Source organism: Homo sapiens, chromosome 18 (genome assembly GCF_000001405.40).
Source record: "Homo sapiens chromosome 18, GRCh38.p14 Primary Assembly".
Lineage (NCBI taxonomy): Eukaryota > Metazoa > Chordata > Mammalia > Primates > Hominidae > Homo > Homo sapiens.
The window spans coordinates 54278736-54303397 of NC_000018.10; the positions used below are offsets into that span (position 1 = coordinate 54278736).

The 24662-nt window shown below is 35.8% G+C and overlaps 1 protein-coding gene across 18 annotated transcripts in view, besides 1 other annotated feature; it reads left to right on the forward strand.

The window, feature by feature from the left end:
• POLI (DNA polymerase iota) overlaps positions 1-24662 on the forward strand; it is a 51788-nt gene that overhangs the window by 9257 nt on the left and 17869 nt on the right. For 11 of the 18 annotated variants that reach the window (NM_001351610.1, NM_007195.3, NM_001351612.2 and 8 more), the window contains 6 exons: positions 1932-2168; positions 4102-4280; positions 5187-5278; positions 8546-8676; positions 13098-13303; positions 14914-19499. In NM_001351610.1, the coding sequence (NP_001338539.1) occupies positions 1932-2168; positions 4102-4280; positions 5187-5278; positions 8546-8676; positions 13098-13303; positions 14914-15732 (1664 nt within the window). In that variant the 3' untranslated portion in view covers positions 15733-19499. Of the gene's footprint in view, positions 1-1931; positions 2169-4101; positions 4281-5007; positions 5081-5186; positions 5279-8545; positions 8677-13097; positions 13304-14913; positions 19500-24662 lie in introns of those variants that run through there. The other 7 variants (NM_001351613.1, NM_001351616.1, NM_001351620.2 and 4 more) reach the window with 3 other exon arrangements.
• Positions 6475-6664: an enhancer, noted in NCBI's record as "active region_13348". NCBI's record gives its function as "activates an Ori minimal core promoter by ATAC-STARR-seq in GM12878 lymphoblastoid cells {active_cell/tissue: GM12878}" and the evidence as "EXISTENCE:reporter gene assay evidence [ECO:0000049][PMID:35858748]".

The window sequence follows — 24662 nt, forward strand, 5'->3', positions numbered from 1 at the left end:
CAGTGAATATCTGATTAGGCTTTCAGACATCTTATGACTCTGCTGGTGACTCCCCTATCATACCACATACAAGACAAGGTACTCTGCTGTTGTGTAAGACTTGTCTGACCCTTTTGCTCTTAAGCCTCCCCATGCATTTCCTCTTATCCTCTTTTTTGAGAACTAGACATCGGTCTACAGAATAGTTCTCCACAGAAGAAAAGCAGTAGAACCACAGTTTCTAGAATACATGGAGCTTTTCCTGTATCTTTTGTACTTGTGCTCATTTGTAACTTAAAAGGGCTAACTAGCAAGAATATTTCAAATATATTTCTGTATAATTTTTAAGGCAAACTTGGATTTTATTGGTTAGAGTACATTATAGAGAGCTAGGTTTTATATCCCAAAAAGGGAAATGTGGAATTATTGATTAATTCTTCCTCTTTCATACAGATTTTATTAAAATTTTTTGTAAACCTACAGAAAAGTTGACAGAATAGTACAAAAAATACCCATTATGTCTTTTCTTTTTTTTTTTTTTTTTTTGAGACAGAGTCTCACTCTGTCGCCCAGGCCGGAGTGCAGTGATGTGATCTCGGCTCACTGCAACCTCCACCTCCTGGGTTCAAGCAATTCTCCTGCTTCAGCCTCCCGACTAGCTGGGACTACAGGCATGTGCCACTACACCCGGCTAATTTTTTTATTTTTAGTAGAGACGGGGTTTCACCATGTTGGCCAGGCTGGTCTTGAACTCCTAATCTCAGATGATCCGCTTGCCTTGGCCTCCCAAAGTGCTGGGATTATAGGCATGAGCCACTACTCCTGGCCCATTATGTCCTTTCTTGTAGATAAACCAGTTGTTATCGTTTTGCCACATTTGCTTTCTCTTGTTCTCTCTATGGATTGCTTGGTTGGTTGATGAGCTATTTGGAAGTAAATTGCAGACATCCTGACATTTCATCTCTAAATACTTTTAGCGTTAGTCTCTTTGAGGTTAGGATGGTTTCATGTCATTCCAACACTGTTTTACACCTAAAGCAAATTTATTTTTATATAATTTTCTTACACTTTTCATAAAAGAGCTCTAAAACTGTGTACAGGTCAGAGATTGTTTCTAGCAGCATATACTGCTAGTGCGTGGTTAAGATTTAGATCTTTAAAGTATAATGTTAGCTTTCTTGTTATATAATAATACTTCTATGCCTACTTACGGGTAAATATGAGTAAAAGTTTTGCCAATGTCAGTAGGAATTTTTTTATGAGATCAGTTTTCACAATGTGTTAATTATTAAGCACTCCCACTACACAGTCACTATCACAGGCCCTTGGAATTTGCTTATTGAATTTGTTTACAGTATTCCTATGAAGCATGAAAGAGATTAGTCAAGTGGATAACAGGGTGGCAGTGATCTCTTAGTCCATTTAGTGTTGCTTTAACAGAATACCTGAGACTGGGTAATTTATAAAGAAAAAAAGGTTTATTTGGTTCATGATTCTTGTGGCTGGAAAAGTCAAGGTTAGGCCTCTGGTGAGGGCCTCAGGCTGTTTCCACTCATGGTGGAAGGCAAAAGGGAGCCAGTGTGTGCAGAGATCACATGGTGAGAGAGGAAGCAAGGGCTGGGGGAGGTGCCAGGCTCTTTTAACAACCAGCTGTCTTTGGAACTAATACAGTCAGAAACTTACCCCTGAGGGAGGGCTTTAATCTATTCATGAGGGATCCACCCCTGTGATCCCAACACCTCCCATTTGACCCCACCTCCAACACTGGGGATCAAATTACAACATGAGGTTTGGAGGGGACAAATATCACAACCATACCAGGTGATGATGGTGGTGGTTGTGGTGGTGGTGGTTGTTGGATATAGACTAAGCCCTCTACCTTTTAAAAATTATTTTGTGAAAAAGAAAAAGGTTTTTCTTGTGACTTTGAATGACATTTGTTGTTTTTAAAGCTATAAACCTGCTTGACGTCTTGCACATCAGACTACTTGTTGGATCTCAGATTGCAGCAGAGATGCGGGAAGCCATGTATAATCAGTTGGGGCTCACTGGCTGTGCTGGAGTGGCTTCTAATAAACTGTTGGCAAAATTAGTTTCTGGTGTCTTTAAACCAAATCAACAAACAGTCTTATTACCTGAAAGTTGTCAACATCTTATTCATAGTTTGAATCACATAAAGGAAATACCTGGTAAGACAAATATATTTGAAAAGTACATATACGTCTTATTTTATTTCTTTTAATTTAAAAAATTATAGATACAATGTAATTAATTCTTAGGTAGAGTTGTCTGTGAGTTTGTGTGCATGTGTGTGTGTGTGTATACTTGGTTCCTGGAAAAAACTAAGAAAAACTGTAATGTTTTCTCAAGCAAATTTGGATTAAGAAATATGTGAAGGTACTTTTCTTATTTTATCTACTTTTGTATGGTTAGAATATGGTCATGAAAGTTATAGCCTAGAAACATATGGTCCTTTATTTCCAGTCCCTGGGTCATACTCTTATACTGTACATTGCCTCTAGAGAGGGGAGTTCGTCTTTTACTAACTCTTTTGGGATTACATATAAAATATTAAGGCTACAATGGACTTTCCAAAACATCTAGGCCAAGGTCCTCATTTTAAAGATTAGGAAACTGATTTCCATGAGGAGTTCGGTGACCTATTTAGGTCATGGGGCAAGTTTGTATCTTTGAAGATTAAATACCCAAGTTTTTATAGGCCATCAATATGTTGAACTACATTTCTGTGGTATTGCTAGGGAATAAGATGTTATAAAAGAGTTCTGTGGAAGTGAATTTCTAATACCACTGAAACTTAGATGTCATACTTCACATTTTTAACTGATACTTGCGTGATTCCAAAATGTATTATACACTGCCTTGCCTTCCTTAGTATAGTATAACTATAATTTGAAGTTTTTTGGATGACTTTGGTAGTGCATTCTGAAGAACAATGTCAGGTTGTAATAAACTGAGGACTATATACTGGTGCAAAACATTCTTACTTGGCTTTACTTTCGAGTTCTTGTATCTTTTTTTTTTTTTTTTAACAGGCTTTCTCCTTTCTCACTTATTGCCAAATTGCCAACCTTCTTTTTTTTCTGCTGTGAAAAATCTGTCACTCTACTTTAATAGTTCCCCCTACATAGCCATCTCCTCCAACTTACTGCTTTTACTGTGCAAGAAAACCAGATAACTGTGGAATTACTGTTTTTGAATGAAAAGAATAAGGAGACATTAAATAGCCTGTTTTCTCTTGTGAATAAAGTATGACCGAATTTTAGTGCAAGAACTTTGTGACAGTTTTGCTAGCAAGATTTTTTGTTTGTTTGCTTTCTGGCTCATAGTTGTATTCTGGATGGTAAATGTTAGATATGACTTATGGATAAATGTGTGGTGGTGCGTATAGGAATCAGTTAGGTTACCTAATATGTACACTTAATTTATTTTAATTGCTCTAGTGGCAGCCTTTTTGTATATTAATAATAATCATGATTTCTGAATATTTCTGGAATATTACATAACAGGTGGTAAAATTTTTGTTTTAGTAAGACAGCATTTATTGGCTGTCTCTGTATTCATTTTATTTTACTGCATTTTGTGAGGACTTCAAAGAGGTGCATATAATTCAGGAGCCCTGAGTGGAAGAACAGCAACCTAGTTTGCAATGGGGTTTGATCTTTGCAAAATACAGTAGTCCCCCATTATCTGCAGTTTCACTTTTCACAGTTTCTATTACCTGCAGTCAACTGTGGTCTGAAAATAATAAGATATTTTGAGAGAGAGAGGCAGAGACCACATTCACATAACTTGTATATTGTATATTGTTATAGTTCTGTTTTATTATTATTGTTAATCTCTTACTGTGCCTAATTTATAAATTAAACTTTATCATAGGTATATATGTAATGGGAAAAACAGTACTGTATATATAGGGTTTGATACTGTCCATGGTTTCAGGCATCCACTGAAGGTCTTAGAATGTATCCCCTGTGGATAAGGGGGGACTACTGTATAAATTATAGAACTTAAAGATAAGATTGATATATTTATAATATTTTAATTAGCTTTGTTTTAAGGAGAAAAGCTATTTTAACATTGTATGCATTTCTTTTTATTTAGGTATTGGCTATAAAACTGCCAAATGTCTTGAAGCACTGGGTATCAATAGTGTGCGTGATCTCCAAACCTTTTCACCCAAAATTTTAGAAAAAGAATTAGGAATTTCAGTTGCTCAGCGTATCCAAAAGCTCAGTTTTGGAGAGGATAACTCCCCTGTGATACTCTCAGGACCACCTCAGGTACATGATGATACTTATTTTAATTAAGTACTGGTTATCACATTATTTGAGATAAAGATTTCTAGTTTTAGTACCATGTTCTTACTATTCTAGTTTGCTTAGTATGTGATCCCTTTCCTATTAGAAGGCTGATTTATTATTAATAGATTGGATTAATAAGTATTCTTAAATGGAATCTTAAGCATTGATATTTTGATATCTTAAGTTAGCTACTATGATTGAAGACAGTGCAACTTAATTTTAATAGCCTATAATGCATATATGAGGCAAAATATTTTAATCTGTTAAAAATCTTGTTTTCAGAGTAGTCCAGTGATTTAGCAAATGGGAAAGGTATAATCACCCAGTTAACATTGACTGATTTTTTTGCTATGGGACAAGCACTTTACTGAGTGCTTTAAATATGTTAGTCCATTTAATCTTCACAACAAAGCATCAAGGTAGGTAGTACTGTTGTTTGTCCATTCCTTCTTACTTCTCTTCTTTCCTTCCTTCCTTCCATTCTCTCTCTCTCAAGATGAGGATACCGTACTTTAGAAAGGTTAAATAACTTGTCCAAGGATAAACTTAGATTCAAGTCCTAGGTGATTAAGAACTCTTGCCATAATCATACAATAAAGCTTGGAGTTGGTACTAGAGCTTTAGAGTTTTCATAACTTTGAATTATTTTATATTAACTGTTTTATATTAACTGTTAATACAGTAATATTTTATATTAACTTTCTAGTGAGTACAATAGCTTGCAGATAAAAAACTGTTAATATAAAAGTGAACTAAATGGCTCAAACTAAGGACAAGAGGTAAGTTAGTGAAGAATGTATTGAATATTTATTTGACTGTACACTGATAATAATTAGATATAGTTATTTGAGTTTGTGCTAATCCTTATTTATGCTTCTTTGATAGTCCTTTAGTGAAGAAGATTCATTTAAAAAATGTTCATCTGAAGTTGAAGCTAAAAATAAGATTGAAGAACTACTTGCTAGTCTTTTAAACAGGTGATTTTCAATCCATTTTGCCAAGTCATCCTATGTATTCATTCTATATACGGTATGTGGAAAGAATATTTGATGTTCCATCTTGGAACTGACAGATTATCTGGAGACTAAACAATGTAAAAATAATTTATCATGGGATTTCTCTGCTTTATAAACTGTTGTAAAGATGGTAATAGGGGGTCTTACCTAAATTGAATTCATTGGTCTTAATTCTGTTAACACTGTGGTTATGCTATGGATCTAAAGCTGCAGATAGTTACCTAAAGGGGTTTTATGGATATTTCTAACATTTCTAGACTTATTCTGGTCTTCAGGTGAGAAGAAGAAGTTTTAATTTTTCCCTGTGGCAATTGCAAAGCCTCTGCCCTCAACCTAATAGTTAGTTGCATTTCATTAAGTTAGTACCATGCTAAATACAAATACATGCGAAATACAAAACCCGTGAAATTAACCATTTATCTGTGCCTCTGCTAATAGTTACTTGCATTTCATTAAGAAGAAAAAAATGCAAAGAGGAATAATACTGTCATAATTCTAAAACTCCTGATACAGGAACAACTATATAAATTTGTGATTGTTGAGGATAGGAAATTATTAAAGTAACAGTGATGGAAGAAGCAGAAGAACCCTTGTATCTCTTTTGCCTCAGACTGTAAAATAAAATGGAGTCGAAGGAAAGAATGGCTAGCTGGCGCTGTGTGTGAGTAGGGTGAGTGACTGCAGGTGTGTGCAGGGTTTCTGATCTGTATGTAAAGAGTATCAACTGGGGTTATAAATATATGAGTAGTACAAGATAAACTGAAAAGGAAATTTAATTTTGTGGTGCTCCTTGTCATTATACATGTATTTCTCAATATTCCATATTCCACAGATGAGTATTATCTGTTTTCGTCCCATTTCTTTGTTTCTCCTCTTCTTGTTAGAAATTTCTCAAATTGTGGTTTCAGGGCTCTAACAGTTTAGAGTAGGTGTGCTTCTCTAATGATTCTAGGAGGACTAACTGTATTTAGAGAAAATGGTTTTTGGTTGGTTCTAAGTCTGAGAAAACTGAAGAAGTGAAATTTCCTCCAACTTTGCTGTCGTGTGCAATGTGGCACTCAAATGTCTTGAGCAGAGCCATGCAGCTCATTGTTGGCTGCATGCAGCTGGGGCTGGCTGTATGACTGGCCTCCCGTGATATGACTCAGGCTGGGCCTGCGAGTATGCTAGTGAAACTGGGTCATTTGCTTCAGCTAAATAGAAGACTACCCTGAAATGCCTAACCTTTGGAGACAGTTCTTCACATAGAAAAACCACAAGAAGTATAAGTTTTACAGGTTCTCTTATTTGAAGAGTCAACCCAGAAGTGAGACCAGGTGCTCTAAACCTGTGACATACAAAACCTGTGAAATTAACCATTTGTCTGTATCTCTGCTTCCCGGCTCCTTTTCTCCCACACCACGGGCCCTTATTTCAGTGACTGAATTATAACACCATCTAAGTGACTTGCAAAAAAAAAAATTACAGGAGTGTGTGTGTGTGTGTGTGTGTGTGTGTGTGTGTATTTGTGTATAATTAGTTTTGTTTTCTCTAGAGTATGTTATGATTAATACTATAGGTATGTAAGAAATGTAAAACCGTATTATTTTTAATCCATCCTCTAGGCACTAGTTTAAGATTGCTTACGATACAGCCTTTTTCTAATGTGTCTTAATTAGCATATCATACTCTTTGAATTGCATAATTAATATAACACGTTTAACTGGAAGATATTTAAACTAGTAACCATTTAAGGTATTTTATCCTAGTTAAGCAGCCATCGAGAAGTTTTGTCACAAAGCAGTAAGAGATAGAAAAAATTATTTACTACAGAACTATTTAATTTTTTATGTTTTTGCGATAGGGTCTTGCTCTGTCACCCAGGCTGGATGGCAGTAGTGCAGTTAGGGCTCACTGCAGCCTCAGCCTCCTGGGCTCAAGCAATCCTCCCACCTCAACCGCCAGAATAGCTGGGAAGGCACCTGCCATCAAGCCTAGCTAATTTTTAAATTTTTGTAGATGAGGTCTTGCTATGTTGCCCAGGCTGGTCTTGAACTCCTGGGCTCAAGTGATCCTCCCACCTCAACTTCCCAAAGTGTTGGGATTACAGGTACGAGGCACCGTGCCTGGCCCAGAACTATTTTTTTCAGATCAGAATCTTCAAGTTGAGTGTGTTTAACAATGTGCAATACTTGCATTTTATGTTTGAGATTTGGTTTTATATGCATTGCCATGTGTATAAAAAGGGAAATGTTATCCTTTAATGACATTTTTTCCAGTACTACTTAAGTGAATTTGTCATATCACTAAAACCTTTGTTTCAACACCAAAACCAAGACATTTGCATGAAACTCTTCTAAAAAATGCATGTACTCATATTGTATATTAATTATATACTAAATATAGTATATGCTCTTTTAAGATATTGCTCTAATAAGCTATCATATAATGGTAATAGTGATTACTCTTTAACAAAAGTAATGTCATTTTGTAAAAAAAAATCTTTTTTTTGGTAATCTCGTAAGAAAAAAGTTTGAAAAAAGTTCTTTTGTTATTTTTCACTTATTTGCTTTTGTCAGTGAATGATTCAGTTTCTTAAATTTCCTGCTGATTTTAATTTGTTGCCTTTTGGTTAGGTGTGTTGGCTTACGTCTGTAATCCCAGCATTTTGGGAGGCTGAGGTGGGGGGATCACCTGAGGTCAGGAGTTCGAGACCAGCCTGGCCAACATGGCAAAACCACCTCTCTACTAAAAATACAAAAATTAGCCAGGTGTGGTCACACATGCCTGTAGTCCCAGCTACTCAGGAGGCTGAGGCAGGAGAATTGCTTGAACCTGGGAGGTGAAGGTTGCAGTGAGCTGAGATTGTGCCACCACATTCCAGCCTGGGCAACAGAGTGAGACTCCATCTCAAAAAAAAAAAAATTGGTTGCTTTTAGTTTTGTTTTGGATCTGTATTATAAAACAGTTTGTTATGATTGTATCTTATATCTCTTCTATTTCTGACAGCACTCAATTCTGAGTGAGGCCTGAGAGCTTGACATCTAAACATTCAGAGTTTTAGTGCATAGACTTTGTGATGATTATTTGGATACTCAGGGACCTTTATTGCTTACTATTTTGTTATCTGCTATATGTATAATTGTCATATTTAACAAAATCTGGCACCTTTAGATAAATGAGATGTTACATAATTTAAAAAGGTAATACTTTTCTAATTCCTTATTTCCACTTTCTCTTTATTTTTAGAGTATGCCAAGATGGAAGGAAGCCTCATACAGTGAGATTAATAATCCGTCGGTATTCCTCTGAGAAGCACTATGGTCGTGAGAGTCGTCAGTGCCCTATTCCTTCACATGTAATTCAGAAATTAGGGACAGGTATGGACTAGTTTTCCAACAGTTTCATTAGCAGGTTGAACTCTTAAATAAGCCAACTTTGAATGAGAAATATGCTCCAAAAATGGAGGGTCTTCACAGGGAATTAGCAAGCAATTAAATGCTTTTATTCTATCAGGAATTTTCACTGGAAAACTTTGTTGTTTGTTTATTTATTTATTTATTTTTTGAGACAGGGTCTTGCTCTGCACCAAGGCTGAAGTGCAGTGGTGCTGTGATAGCTCACTGCAGCCTTTGTCTCCCAGGCTCAAACAATTCTTCTGCCCCAGCCTCCCGAGTAGCTGGGACAGTAGGTGCATGCTACCAGACCTGGCTAACTTTTTTGATATTTAGGATAGACAGGGTCTCAAACTCCTGAGCTCAAGCAATCCTTCTGCCTCAGCCTCCGAAAGTGCTGGGATTATGGGCATGAGCTACTGCACCTGGCCTTGTTTTTAAATAGATAATTAAGTAAAGAGTCATTTAAGAATGTTTTCCAAGTTCAAAGAGAACAAAACTGTGATAACTGTATAGCATGAGATAACTTCTTTATGGGCATTTAGATTGTTTCCATTTTGAAGAACATTTAAATGCAAGTCATTGGATGGGCATATGCATATGTTTTCATTTATCTTGGGTAGATTTCAAAGAGTGGAATTGCTGGATCATATGGTAACATGAACTGTTTAAGAAGCTGCCAACTTTTTTCCAAAGTTTGTGTATTAATTTACATTTTCATCAACAATATTTGAAGGTTCCAGTTTTTCATATTTTCGCCAATATTTGTATTATCAGTCTCTTTGATTATAGTTGTTCTAGCGGTATATAGTAGTGTGGTTTTTCTTTTATGGATAGTGTTTTTGGTGTTATATGTAAAAATTCTTTGCCTAACTCAAAGGTCACAGATATTTTTTTCTGTTTTCTGTTAGAAGTTTTATAGTTTTTAAGCTTTATGTTTAGGTCCATTTTGAGTTAATTTTTTTATGTGTGGTATACGGTAAGGGTCTTCATTCTTTGCTTTGCATGTGGGTATCCAGTTGTTCCTGCATCATTTGTTGAAGACTATTCTCCACCCACTGAATTACCATGACATCTTTGTCAAAAATTAATTGACCATAAATATAAGAGTTTATTTCCTGACTTTCTTGTTTCATTGGTCTATATGTTTATCCTTAACACTGATTCCACCCTGTGGTGGTCTCTGCTGCTCTGTTTATTTTTCTGTAGTCTTTTTTTTTTTCCGTTTTTTCTTACAAAGTGGATAATTTGTATTGAGCTGCCTGTAAGTTCTCTGATTCATCTGTCATCTCATAACCGCTGTTGCCCCTGTAGTGATTTGTTGGTTTTGGTTACTGTACTTTTTAACTCTAGAATTTCTGTTTGTCTTTTGTTTATATGTTTGGTTTTGTTTCTTTATCAAGATTCTCCTTTTTTTGTAGTCATTATATTTTACTTTAATTCTTTAAACATGGTTGTCTTTAATTCTTTGGACATATCTATAATAATGAATTTGAAGTCTTTGCTAAGTTCACCTCAAAGTCAATTTATGTTAACTGCTTTTCCTCCCAAATATGTATCACACTTTCCTGTTTCTTTGCATGTTTTGAACTATTTTATTGAAAACTGAACCTCATAGATAATGTATTGTAGCAACTCTGGATTTACAATTTTTTCTTGTAGGGTTTTTTCTTTTTTGTTTCCTGTACTTCTTTTTAGGTAACTTGTCTGAACGTAATCTGCAGAATTTACCTCCCCTGTGCTGTGTAGCCACTGATTTCTCTGCTCAAGTGTTTTTTTTTTTTTTTTCCATTCAAATTTTTATTTTAATACTGGCTTCTGGGAAGTTGCCCATGTCTGTATAGTTTCATGGTTAGCCAGTGATTGGCAAAGGTTTTGCTCAAACACTAGAGTCTGGAAGCCGTCTACCTCTGCCAGTGGATAAGTGTATGGGTTGGAGAGGGCTTAAAAAATTTAGGCCATTTTCCCATACTGCCCAAAGTAATTTATAGGTTCAATGCCATCCCCATCAAGCTACCACTAACTTTCTTCACAGAATTGGAAAAAAATACTTTAAATTGCATATGGAACCAAAAATGAGCCCCTATAGCCAAGACAATCCTAAATAAAAAGAACAAAGCTGGAGGCATCATGCTACCTGACTTCAAACTATACTACAAGGCTACAGTAACCAAAACAGCATGGTACTGGCAGAAAAACAGAGATACAGAACAATGGAACAGAACAGAGGCCTCAGAAATAACACCACACATCTACAACCATCTGATCTTTGACAGACCTGACAGAAACAAGCAATGGGGAAAGGATTCCCTATATAATAAATGGTGCTAGGAAAACTGGCTAGCCATATGTAGAAAGTTGAAACTGGATCCCTTCCTTACACCTTATACAAAAGTTAACTCAAGATGGATTAAAGACTTAAATGTTAGAACTGAAATCATAAAAACCCTAGAAGAAAACCTAGGCAATAGCATTTAGTACATAAGCATGGGCAAAGACCTCATGACTAAAACACCAAAAGCAATGGCAACAAAAGCCAAAATTGACAGATGGGACCTAATTAAACTAAAGAGCTTCTGCACAGCAAAAGAAACTATCAGCAGAGTGAACAGGCAACCTACAGAATGGGAGAAAATTTTTGCAATCTACCCATCTGACAAAGGGCTAATATCCAGAATCTACAAAGAAGTTAAACAAATTTACAAGAAAAAAGCAAACAACCCCATCAAAAAGTGGGCAAAGGATATGAACAGACACTTTTCAAAAGAAGACATTTATGCTGCCAACAGACATATGAAAAAATGCTCATCATTGCTGGTCATTAGAGAAATACAAATCAAAACCACAATGAGATACCAGCTCATGCCAGTTAGAATGGCGATCATTAAAAAGTCAGGAAACAACAGATGCTGGAGAGGATGTGGAGAAATAGGAACACTTTTACACTGTTGGTGGGAGTGTAAATTAGTTCAACCATTGTGGATGACAGTGTGGTGATTCCTCAAGGATCTAGAACTAGAAATACCATTTGACCCAGTGATCCCATTACTGGGTATATACCCAAAAGATTATAAATCATGCTACTATAAAGACACATGCACGCGTATGTTTATTGTGGCACTATTCACAATAGCAAAGACTTGGAACCAACCCAAATGTCCATCAGTAATAGACTGGATAAAGAAAACGTGTCACATATACATCATGGAATACTATGCAGCCATAAAAAAGGATGAGTTCATGTCCTTTGCAAGGACATGGATGAAGCTGGAAACCATCATTCTCAGCAAACTATCACCAGGATAGAAAACCACACACCACATGTTCTCACTCATAAGTGGGAGTTGAACAACGAGGACACATGGACACAGGGAGGAGAACATCACACACCGGGGCCTATCTGGATGGAGGGCTGAGGGAGGGATAGCATTAGGAGAAATACCTAATGTAAATGAAGAGTTGATAGGTGTAGCAAACTAACACGGTACATGTATACCTATGTAACAAATCTGCACATTGTGCACATGAACCCCAGAACTTAAAGTATAAAAGAAAAAAAATTAGGCCATTTTCAAGTTTTTCTTGAATTTTAATTTCTGCTAGGCCCTCTTTATCTCCCCATGATGTGCATGTAGCCCTTTCAGTAAGGAGTGTATGGGGAGCTTGGGCCCTCTGTGGCCTTCCATTTATTTGCATGTAGCCTCCTAGTCAACTAGGGTTGTACGGGGAGCCTATGTAGTCCCTCTTTGGTTCTCTCATTTCCAAATCTCCTGGTGACATATCTGGCTGGTCCACTGATCTGTCCTTCACCCGAACCACGACTGAAGCTTCAGACTAGCAGAGCTGTGGGATCTTCCCATTCGTTTCCTATCAAATTTGCTCATTTTACTGGCAACACTGCTGAGTGTGGGCTTTTGCCCACTGCCTCAAATCAGGTCTGTCCCCTCTGGAAGTGAAACTGCTGGCTTTTGCAGCCTTCACCCTGTACCAACTGAGCTATGTAAAGGGACATTCGAACAGTCCCAGACAGTGAAGCTGCTATCTCCTACTTTCTTAGCTAACATATAGCAGCTGTTCATAGATCAGTACTTCTCACTTTGTTTGCCTTTGGTTCATTTCCAGATTTCCACCAAAATGATTGTTTTTGACAATGTTGTTCAGTTTTATAGTAGCTTTTTGAGAGAGGATTTTCTGACCATATCAGTGTAGTATAACCAGAAATCCCATATTTCAAATCTTTTGAAAATTTTTAACCATTTAGTATTAATATTGAAATGTCTTAATTTGGTATATAATGTCAAGATGCCCAGTGATATTTAGGATTTTAATTTCTTAATCTCAGCAATATAAAATATATTATGCTCTTAATATTAATTATAATGTTTATTCTTAAACATTTTATTTAGGAAATTATGATGTGATGACCCCAATGGTTGATATACTTATGAAACTTTTTCGAAATATGGTGAATGTGAAGATGCCATTTCACCTTACCCTTCTAAGTGTGTGCTTCTGCAACCTTAAAGCACTAAATACTGCTAAGAAAGGGCTTATTGATTATTATTTAATGCCATCATTATCAACTACTTCACGCTCTGGCAAGCACAGTTTTGTAAGTACACTCTTTTTTGTTCAGTTTTCTAAGTATACTCTTATGGGATTTGTGTGGTTACATTACAAATCTAAGTGCTTGTCTTTTTGATATAGTTTAGAGATTCTTTTGGGTGATATTGTTTAGGTGATTAACTTGTTTATAATACCTATCTTATGGTTTCTGGCCTTAAATATGCTGTGATCTAAGAAGAAAACATAAGCATCACTGGATAAAAGAGAGAACCATTATGGAGGTTCTCTATTTTGGAATTGTTAACACATTTTATAGTATATAAAAATATGATGGATTAGCTCATAAGTATTAAAATATTTGCAGATATTAGAAATCACATCTTTTTGTCTTTTAGCTGACACATGAGCTACTAGTACCTTTCCCATGATTCTTTTGTTAAAGTATTTACATTTTCTTCATTTTGAAATAGTATTGAATTTTGATAGCAATATTGATAGATTTGACTACTGATTTCATAGTTGTAAAGTTAACAGTGTGGCAATAGAAAGGCAGAGGCCAGTCACATTTTCAGACGACTAAAACAAAACCCTTTTATTAATAGACAAACCACTATTTAGTAAATGTGGGTTGCCTTAAAAACAATTATTTTTTACTAAATTGTTCATGCCTATAATTAACTCAATTTAAAATACTTTTGTGTTTGTTTAGTCAGTATAATTTTAGTAACCTTTTCATTTTCATTTAAGTTTAAAGTGAGAACAGGATAGTGTATGGAAATAGTGAATTAATGCTCTCTTCAAATTACTTTTTTCTGTGACCCTTCTTATTCCATTTATTAAATTTAAAAAAGTGTTTTCTTTTTACATTTTAATTAATCTGTGAAATTGGAATTAAAAGTGCTCATTTATAGTGGCATTAGAAAAGTAAATATAAGTGAAAGTACCTTGTATGTATTTGTCACACAGTAGGTAGTCAATAAATATAAGGGCCTGAATCTTTTCTACTACTTTTACTTTTTTGGAGTTCATATTGTGTTGATGTTTACGGAGTTATATTTGACTATGTTTATATTTTTATGGTGCTTGAAACTAAAGGATTTAAATGAAAAACTGTATAGAAAAATTATGCAAGTTAGAGTTGAAAGTGTCTTTAAATTTTTATTTTATATAAATATAAACTAGTACTATATCTTGATGATGTTGGGTTTTGTTATAGGCTTTTTTTTTCTTTTTGTTAAAAGTTACCCTTTAGAATAGTAATTTTTGGAAAACTAGCCCTTGATGCTATATGTGTATGTTTTTTTGAAAAATACCCTTAGGTGAACTTGCTTTTCTAGGCCGCCATTCTTTTATTTATAGAATTGAAAGTTTGGTTGCATGATTGTTACAATCTTCCCAGGTCTCCAAATGCATATTTACCTCTGTCTCAGTGCTATCTAGGAAGGAAACCTCTTCCTGGAATAGTGGGTAGAGATTCACAAAATAGTGTGAATAATTGTGGTAGTAGATCTCTAGTTGTTTGGAACTGGCCACAAAGAGTTGTATTTGTTGAGTAGGTTAGAAACATGTCAGATAATAGCTACAGGCACACAGCAGCAGCAGCGATATTTAAAAGATATCAGATATGTAAATTAGTCTGTTATTCTTGTGTTCTAGAAAATGAAAGACACTCATATGGAAGATTTTCCCAAAGACAAAGAAACAAACCGGGATTTCCTACCAAGTGGAAGAATTGAAAGTACAAGAACTAGGGAGTCTCCACTAGATACCACAAATTTTTCTAAAGAAAAAGACATTAATGAATTCCCACTCTGTTCACTTCCTGAAGGTGTTGACCAAGAAGTCTTCAAGCAGCTTCCAGTAGATATTCAAGAAGAAATCCTTTCTGGAAAATCTAGGGAAAAATTTCAAGGGAAAGGAAGTGTGAGTTGTCCATTACATGCCTCTAGAGGAGTATTATCTTTCTTTTCTAAAAAACAAATGCAAGATATTCCCATAAATCCTAGAGATCATTTATCCAGTAGCAAACAGGTATCCTCTGTATCTCCTTGTGAACCGGGAACATCAGGCTTTAATAGCAGTAGTTCTTCTTACATGTCTAGCCAAAAGGATTATTCATATTATTTAGATAATAGATTAAAAGATGAACGAATAAGTCAAGGACCTAAAGAACCTCAAGGATTCCACTTTACAAATTCAAACCCTGCTGTGTCTGCTTTTCATTCATTTCCAAACTTGCAGAGTGAGCAACTTTTCTCCAGAAACCACACTACAGATAGCCATAAGCAAACAGTAGCAACAGACTCTCATGAAGGACTTACAGAAAATAGAGAGCCAGATTCTGTTGATGAGAAAATTACTTTCCCTTCTGACATTGATCCTCAAGTTTTCTATGAACTACCAGAAGCAGTACAAAAGGAACTGCTGGCAGAGTGGAAGAGAGCAGGATCAGATTTCCACATTGGACATAAATAAGCATATTCAGCAAAAAGGTCTGAAAAGCAAGGGAATACCATTATTTTCGGATTAGCGGTTTATTAAGCTCTTCTATATTAAACACTAATAGATATTCAATAACGGAGTAAACTGTTCCAGATAAAGCAAGAATAGTTGCAAGAAGTAAATTCTGGCACAAAGCGTAAAAATATAACAGAAGAAATAATGTAAAATACTATCTTTTATGTCTAAAGCCATTTTATATTACTTTTCAATAAAAAGAATATCATGGTCAACATAGAATATTTTTCATGAATTGGTGGGGAGATGTATATGTTTATATATAAAAAATAGCCAAATCGTTGCAATGATATGGTAAAGGACACATTTTTTTTTTTTTTTTCCTGTGAAATGTGGAATATCTCAAATTCAGCCTCTTAGGCTGAATAGCAAATCCTACTGCCAACTAACCTATTAAAAATATAGATAGTTTTGACTAAAGTACTACATTACATTTAGTATGTTGACTTTTAAAATACCAAAGCAATTTATATTCAATTAATGCTTCTTCATACACCAAGAATCTACCACAATACACAGCACACAAAGGCCGTTCAATAAACATTGAATGAATGAATGGTTTGGCTAGGGCCAGGGTGGGGAGTTAAAGTGAGAGGAGGGTATATGTTATAGAGAACAGTGGTAGAAGGAACTCTCCGTGCAAGTAAATTAAGGGAAAGATGGACACCAGAAAGGCAAGGTGATGGGCCTATAAGCATACTGGATAATGGAAGAAGTCCATTTCTTTCTAGCTAGTTTGAAGGGCCTAAAAGCACTGAGATGTTTTTGTATCTTCCCTACATTTGGAGATGATATTAGGTTGTCATAACAACCACAAATATAGACCATTACTAAATTGGTGGATGTCCTCTTTCTCCCATTGTTATTGCCTTCCTCTTTTGCCTGCTAAACTAAAAATTGGATATAAGATTGAGAATGTATTATATAATTTGCAAGACATAGAGGATGTTTATAGAATATACTAAAGTATCCCTCAGCACCAATATGGGAGTATCCTGGTCTCAAGTTTATAATTTTTGCACATATAATCTAAAGAAGAGACTTTAAAAATAAAGTACACAAATATGAACCAAAGAGTAGCTTAAAAATACTTTCTTCTAGGTCTGAAATTTTCTTTTCTTTCTTTTTTTGTTTTGGAGACAGAGTCTCACTCTGTCGCCCAGGGTGGAGTACAGTGGCGCAATCCCAGCTCACTACAACCTCCGCCTCCCAGGTTCAAGCAATTCTCCTGCCTCAGCCTCCTGAGTAGCTGGGATTACACGCATGCCCTACCACACCCAGCAAATTTTTGTATTTTTAGTAGAGATGACATTTCACCATATTGGCCAGGCTGGTCTCGAACTCCTGGTCTCAGGTGATCCTCCACCTTGGCCTCCCAAAGTGCTGGGATTACAGGTGTGAGCCATTGCTCCTGGCCCCAGCTCTGAAATTTTAACTTAGTTTTGGATTCCTTGGAATTTGAAAATATGCTAACACGAAGGATTGTAAATAGGTAGTTTGAGGTTATCAGGAACAGTAACTTGAAGCAAGAACATCAGAAATTGTTCACCATGCAAATATTTAGTACTCTGAATCAAGGAACATAGTATTTTTTACATGAGTATTCCAGTAAGGTAATTAAACTTATGAAAAGGGTATATAACTTTTTGTAAATCATTAAAACATTTTATAGTCCTTGTAATGATTTCAGGACCTTGGACAGCTAGAAGGGGCTTAAGAAAAAATGGCTAAGAAAACAAAGTAAATGGTTTTGGCCAGCTTAAAAAGAGAAAGCAAAATAGTTAAAAATACATTTCATAGATTGAGAATGTACGGGCTATGTCACAGTTACGCTACTTATTTTGTGGTTTTAAGTTAGTCTCAACATCTTTGGGCCTCAGAATCAACTTTTTTATGGGATCTTTTTTCTCTGTTTTTAAGATTATCTCTTTTTTCTTTGGTGCTTTGCAGGTTTACTGTATTATTTGGAAGTGCGAATTTATTTTTATTCTTAGTATATACTGGCTTCTTCCTGTATCTTTTAATTCATGTTCTGTAAAATTCTCAACCACTAGCTCTTCAAATATTTCTTCTCTATTCTAGGACTGTATACAAATGATAGACTTTCTTACTGTATCCTTCATGTCTCTTAATTTCTCATATTTTTCATCCTCTTGTTTCTCTTTACTGCATTTTGGGTAATTTCATCAGCTCTATCTTTCTGTTTACTAGTTCATTTTTCAGTAGCATCTCACCTGCTATTTAAAACAATGATGGTTTTAATTTCAATAAATATATTTTTCATTTGATTCTTTTTAACTTCCCGTTTACTCATTACAGTCCCTTGTAAGTCTGTTTCTAATTTTTAAAAGTCAAATATATGATATTTTTGATAATTTCAATATTTTAAGTCTTTATAAGTCTACATTTAAGGTTATTATTGCATATCATTGTGACTTATTTCCTTGAGTATGTGTTAATCTGCGAGAAGACAGAGGGCCTAAATTGTGTATGTTTTCCTTCAGTATGATTTGAGTTCGTTGCTTCTCTGGGTGAGGTGGTACAAACTCCTTGGCATACTCTATTCACCTTTGTGGATCCTGATTGAATGCCTTGTCTTAAGTGTAAGCTCCCTGACCCTTACTACTAGCCGAAGGTTTTGTCTCTGCAGGTCAATTCCAAACTAACAGGCAGATGCTGTTAGCTATCTGCCTCCAGGGATAAACCCCATCTTTCAAGCTTGCTTCTTGCTTGATGCTTTCTGCTGCTTTCTTGCTTTTGTTTCAGCTCGAGTTTGTTGTTGTTTTTTTTTTTTCCTGTTTCTGTCTTGAATGTAGAGGGTATTTTTATTTTTATTTTTTCTGTTTCTCTCTTGAGTGTATAGTGTAGAGGGGGTTTCTGTCTTGAGTGTAGGCCTGGAGATTTCCCTTATATGGTACAAACCAGCAATGAATTAAGAGGTCTCTTTTCTCCAAGATCTAGTGTTTTGTACTAGGAGAACTCTAAAAAGTATCTATTCCACTGTAGTGCCAAAGTACAAATTTATTTGGATTTATTTTTTGCCATCTTATTTTTTAATATATTTCTTTTTCTATGTTGTGCTTCTTTCCCACCTTTATCTCTCCTCCTATCTTTTGGGATCAGTTGGGTTTTCTATTTAATCATATATTTTCCCTTTACTGATTTGGAATGTGAATGTTACAAGTCCTTTTGATTATCCTTAAACATCTAAAAATGCTACCCTCTTTCCAAACAACACAAAGGTATTGAAATAACATTAATTCTAATTAAATTCCACAAGTTCTTTATTAAATCTCCAAATTGGATATTATTAGTATTTTATATAGTCAATGTTTATTTTTTTGATGGGACATGGTGGGGGCTTACCTTTTTTCTTGTGTGTCAGATGTTCCTTCTAGGTAGAATTCTTTATACCTTCTGAAATTATGTCCTTAGAGCTGTAGATTTAGAACTGACATCTCTTGAGCTGTTCTAAGATAATATCTTTTACTTTGGAGATACGCAGTTTTTATTATATGTCTAGCTATAGATTTATCATGGATTTAGGTTCATTATGAATCTGCAGATTTGTGTCTTCCATCAAATCTGGATTGTTTTCAATATTAAAAAAACTTCTATTTTAAAATCTGTATATAGAAAGGTACATAAACATAAATGAACATGTTAATGAGTAATTGTAACAACTATGTAACTGTCCAAGTCAAGAAATAAAACATATCAAGTAATCAAGAAGTCCAGAGTTTTCTTTGGGGTTTCATTACGTAGGCATGATTTATTAAAACCTTTACTGTGTGCTTGAACTTAATCTCCAGTTTCCCTCCTCTGTCTGGACATCAGGCTGGCTCAAAGTCTCAACACCCTAATCATGGTTGTTTTTTTGAAGTGAGCTACCTCCATCCTAAATCATCTTTTTAGCATTAGCTGTCTAGGGCCCACTGTGGGTCACATCATTAGCATACAGTGTCAGGGCTTACCATGAATAATGAAGGCACTTCTGTTGTTTAGGAAATTCCATGGGTTTTAGGAGCTTGGTGTCCAGGAACCCTGAACGAAGACCAGACCAATTATACTACAGAATCTTTTTTTTTTTTTTTTTTTTGAGATGGGGTCTCGCTCTGTCGCCCAGGTTGGAGTGCAAAGGTGTGATCTTGACTCACTGCAACCTCCATCTCCTGGGTTCAAGTGATTCTCCTGCCTCAGCCTCGAGTAGCTGGGATTACAGGCACCTACCACCACACCCAGCTAATTTTTGTATTTTTAATAGAGATGGCATTTCACCATGTTGGTCAGGCTGATCTTGAACTCCTGACCTCGTGATCTGCCCGCCTCAGCCTCCCAAAGTGCTGAGATACAGGTGTGAGTCACCACCCCTGGCCCTACTACAGAATCTTTTAAAATAAGTTTTGAGATGTATTATGGCCCCAAAGTGATCTACTTTAGTAAATATAGGTATGACTTGACTGACAATGTGGTTATGCTCAGATAAGCCCATTGTAAATTGAAAATATCATGAGTGAAATACATTTAATACATCTATGAAACATCATAGCTTAGCCAGGCCTACCTCAGACATACTCAGAGCAACTCACGTTGGCCTACAGTTGGGCAAAGTAGTGTAACACAAAGCCTGTTGACAGAGCCTGGGCCGGGCGTGGTGGCTCATGCTTGTAATCCTAGCACTTTGGGAGGCCGAGGCTGGTGGATTGCCTAAGCTCAGGAGTTCGAGACCAACCTGGGCAACATGGTGAAACCCTGTCTCTACCAAAATACAAAAAGTTGACTGGGCGTGGTGGTGCACGCCTGTAGTCCCACCTACTGGGGAGGCTGAGACAGGAGACTCGCTTGAACCTGGGAGGTGGAGGTTGCAGTGAACCAAGATCCCACCATTGCACTCCAGCCTGAGTGACAGAGCAAGACTCCATCTCAAAACAAAACAAAAAAAGCCTGTTTTATAATAAAATGTTGAATATCTCATGTAAGTATCATACTGCATATCAGTCACCGAATGGAATTAACAGCAGATACTGCTGGAGAAAAAATTAGTGCACTAGAAGTCAGAGCAATAAATTATTCAGAAAGAAACAGAGAAAAAATAATAAACACAGCATCTGTGAGCTATGAGACAACTTCAGGCAGGCTAATACATGTCTTATTCAAGTCCCCAAAGAAGAGAAGAGGGTGGGAGATGTAAAAAATATGTGAAGAAACAATGGAGAAATTTTTCCAAATTTGAGGTTAACTATAAACCCACAGGTCCAAAGAGCTTGGCAAATCCCAGGTACAATAAACGTGAAGAAAACTATACCAAGGAGTAACCTAATCAGAGCTCTTAAAACCAGTGATAAACACCATCCCTTGAAAAAGACATACTATTGCAGAAAAACAAGCAAAGCCAACAATTTTGAAAATATTGGAAGCCAGAAGACAGTGGTCTGACATCCTCAAATAAAGTAAAGAAGTGGGGGAAAAGTTGGTTAACTTAGATATCTTAAAAAAAAAAGGAAAATAAGAACATAAGGCATACATATGAAAGAACTCATGCCCGGTAGACCTACATTACCCATAAAATTAGAGGAAGTCCAACAGGCAGGAAGAGCACACCAGATGGAAATACAGATCTACACACAGAAATGAGGAGCACCAGAAATATGAGTATATTTAAAAGCTTTTTTTGTTTCTTATTTCTAAGTGTCTTTTTAAAAGTTGGCTATATAAAACAAAAATAAAAATTATTAAAAATATATTGTAGGATTACAATATATGTGGGAGTAAAATGTAACAGTACAAAGGCCAGGAGGGGAAGTATATAATTTTAAGTATAGAAATGGTAGTATATTATTGTAAGGCCCTTAAACTAAACATGAAGTGGTGGGTTACATCTTGAAGACAGACTGTGATAAGTTAGAGATGTATAATATAAACCCTAAAATAACCACTGAAATAGCAAAATAAGTTTTAATTAATAAGCCAGTAAAGAAGATAAGAAATAGAATAATAAAAAGCCACAAAATTCAATCCCCAAAAAAAGCTTAAAAGGAGAGAAAAGAGGAATAGGACACATGGGGAAAATAGAAAACAAATAGTAGGTTGGTACATTTAAGTCATATCAAAATCATGTTAAATATAAATGATCTAAAAACCTCAATTAAAGGGCAGAGATTATCAGATTGCATGAAAAAGTAGGACCCAACTGTCTGCTGTGTATATAAAATTTTTTAAAAAATAAAGACAAATATGTTAAAAGTAAAAATTGGATAAAAGACACGAGTCTAACATTAATCAAAAGAAAGATGTAATAGCTTTCAACAGGAAAACTGCTTGTTAGAGCAAAGGAATTTAATCAGAAAATCATTTCAAAATGATAAACGAGTCAGTTCATCAGGAGAATGCAATAGTCCTAAATGTTAATGCATCCTCAAAATACATAAAGCAAAAGCTGATAAAACTGCAAGGGGAAAAATATCCACAATTGTAGTTAAGAGATTTGAGGCTGGGTGTGGTGGCTCACACCTGTAATCCCAACACTTTGGGAGGCCAGGGTGGGCAGATCACAAGGTCAGGAGTTCGAGACCAGCCTGGCCAATATACTGAAACCCCGTCTCTACTAAAAATACCAAAAAGTAGCTGGGCGTGGTGGCGGGCACCTGTAATCTTAGCTACTCGGGAGGCTGACGCAGGAGAATCACTTGAACCTGGGAGATGGAGGTTGCAGTGAGCTGAGATTGTGCCATTGCACTCCAGCCCAGGCAACAGTGTGAAACTCCCATCACACACACACACACACAAAGATTTGAATACTTTTTTCTCAATAATTGCTAAAATGAACATACAAAAAAAAATCAGTAAGGATACAGAAGACCTGAACAATTGACATTTATACAAAAGTCCACACAACAGCAAAACATTTTGTTAAAGTGCACACAGAATACAGATGTTCCCTGACTTACAATAGTTCAACTTAAAAATTTTCAACTTCATAATGGTGCAAAAACAATGTACATTCAGGAGAAACCATACATTGGATTTTACATTGTGATGCTCCTTCTGCTTCTTTCAGGTGCTTTCTTTCTCAGAGTTCATATGCATATAATAATCAATACTCAACTGAGGACTTAAGGGGTATTTTCTGCAGATTTCTGCAGCTATCTGAATTCTGAACTCTAGCTGTTCGTGCCTCCAGACTCCCAGGTCCTTAATTCACAGAGACTGCTGGGCTCTCTCTGGCTTCTCTCCTCCAGGGCTGCACCCTGGAAACTTCAGGCAGTAAGCTAAGGCAATTGTAGGGCTCACCTCATTTGCTGACTTTTCATTTCTGCTATTTTGTTTTTATTTTACTTTTTTAAAAAGTTCTTCCTTATTCTCTAAATGTTTATTTCCATAGCACCCTGTTCTTGTTCATTTTTTCTCAGATACAGTATCTTCTCATCTCTAAAGATGTGGTAAAACTTCCAAAGATTTCCTTATACTGTATAGTCTCTCTTGAAGTTGCTTTTATTTGTTTAAGAATGTGGGACTAAAAATATGACTGGAAGCTCTGATAGCTTGGGTAGGACTTGTCAGCTTTGAGTTACATACAGGATGATCTGGCTAGGCCATTGTTGGGGGAACTCCTGATGTCCGTATCATTAGATCTTTCCTTTGGGGCTGGTTATGTTTATCAAATATGATGATTAAAATATCTTACTTAGATTATGAATGTCTGTCTGTCTGGCTGGCTGTGTTATAGGAACAATGTGGGGAAAGGGACTAGAAATCTCAGCATTCAATATGTATACTCATTTAATCTTCCTGTTCTTAGTATACTTCCTAGATTCTCAACTAAACCAAACATTCTCTAGTTCAGAGACCATTTGTTTTACTGTCCTCTAGAGGAGAGTAAAAAAAGAGTTTTACTCTTTTACAATTCTCTAGAAAAAAACTCCAACCTTTTGTTGGATTTGAGGAGATAATTTCTCAATGTTTTTAGTCTTTAATTTTTGTTGGTACATAGTAGGTATGTATATTTATAGGGGTACATGAGATTCTTTGATACAGGCATGCAATGCATAATAATCACATCATGGTAAATGGGGTATCCATCCCCTCAAGCATTTATCTTTTGTGTTTACAAACAATCAACTTATAATCTTTTAGTCATTTAAAAATATACAATTAAATTATTATTAACTATAATCACCCTGTTGTGCTATCAAATACTAGGTCTTATTCATTCTAATTATTTTTTGTACCCATTAACTATCCCCACTTCTCCCAACCCACCTCCACTACCCTTCCCAGCCTCTGGTAACCATCCTTCTACTCTATCTTCACAAGTTCAATTGTTTTAATTTTTAGCTCCCACAAATAAGTGAGAACATGGAAAGTTTGTCTTTCTGTGCCTGGCTAATTTCACTTAACATAACAACCTCCAGTTCCATCCATGTTGTTGCAAATGTTTCTCAATTAGTTTTCACCCACTTCTCCTTACCAAGTCCCATTAGCATCACATCATTGATGTGGAATTAGCCCTGTGGGTTATCAGCTTGTGGATGTCCAGTATTTGTGAAAGCAAAAGTAATGATGTATTGCTATTTGAATTACAGCTGTGATATATAGTCTTGCATTTAATGGTTCCAATGTAGACTTAAAGGTAGAAGCTCTCATGGTAGGACACCTACATAGTATACTTGGAGGCATCCCCAAGAGCCTAGAATCTGCCCTTCCCACTTTTCCAACAATGCCCTAAGTACCTAATTAGCTGTAATAAATTCACCCCTTTCTGCCTAAACTACCTAGATTGTTCTGCATTATTCCTAGAATGACAGAATGGTAGAAAACTCAATTCTTTTAAAAATCCGCTTGCACTTTTTCTTACACTGTCTGTGTTAAAACTGTCATGTTTTATTTTA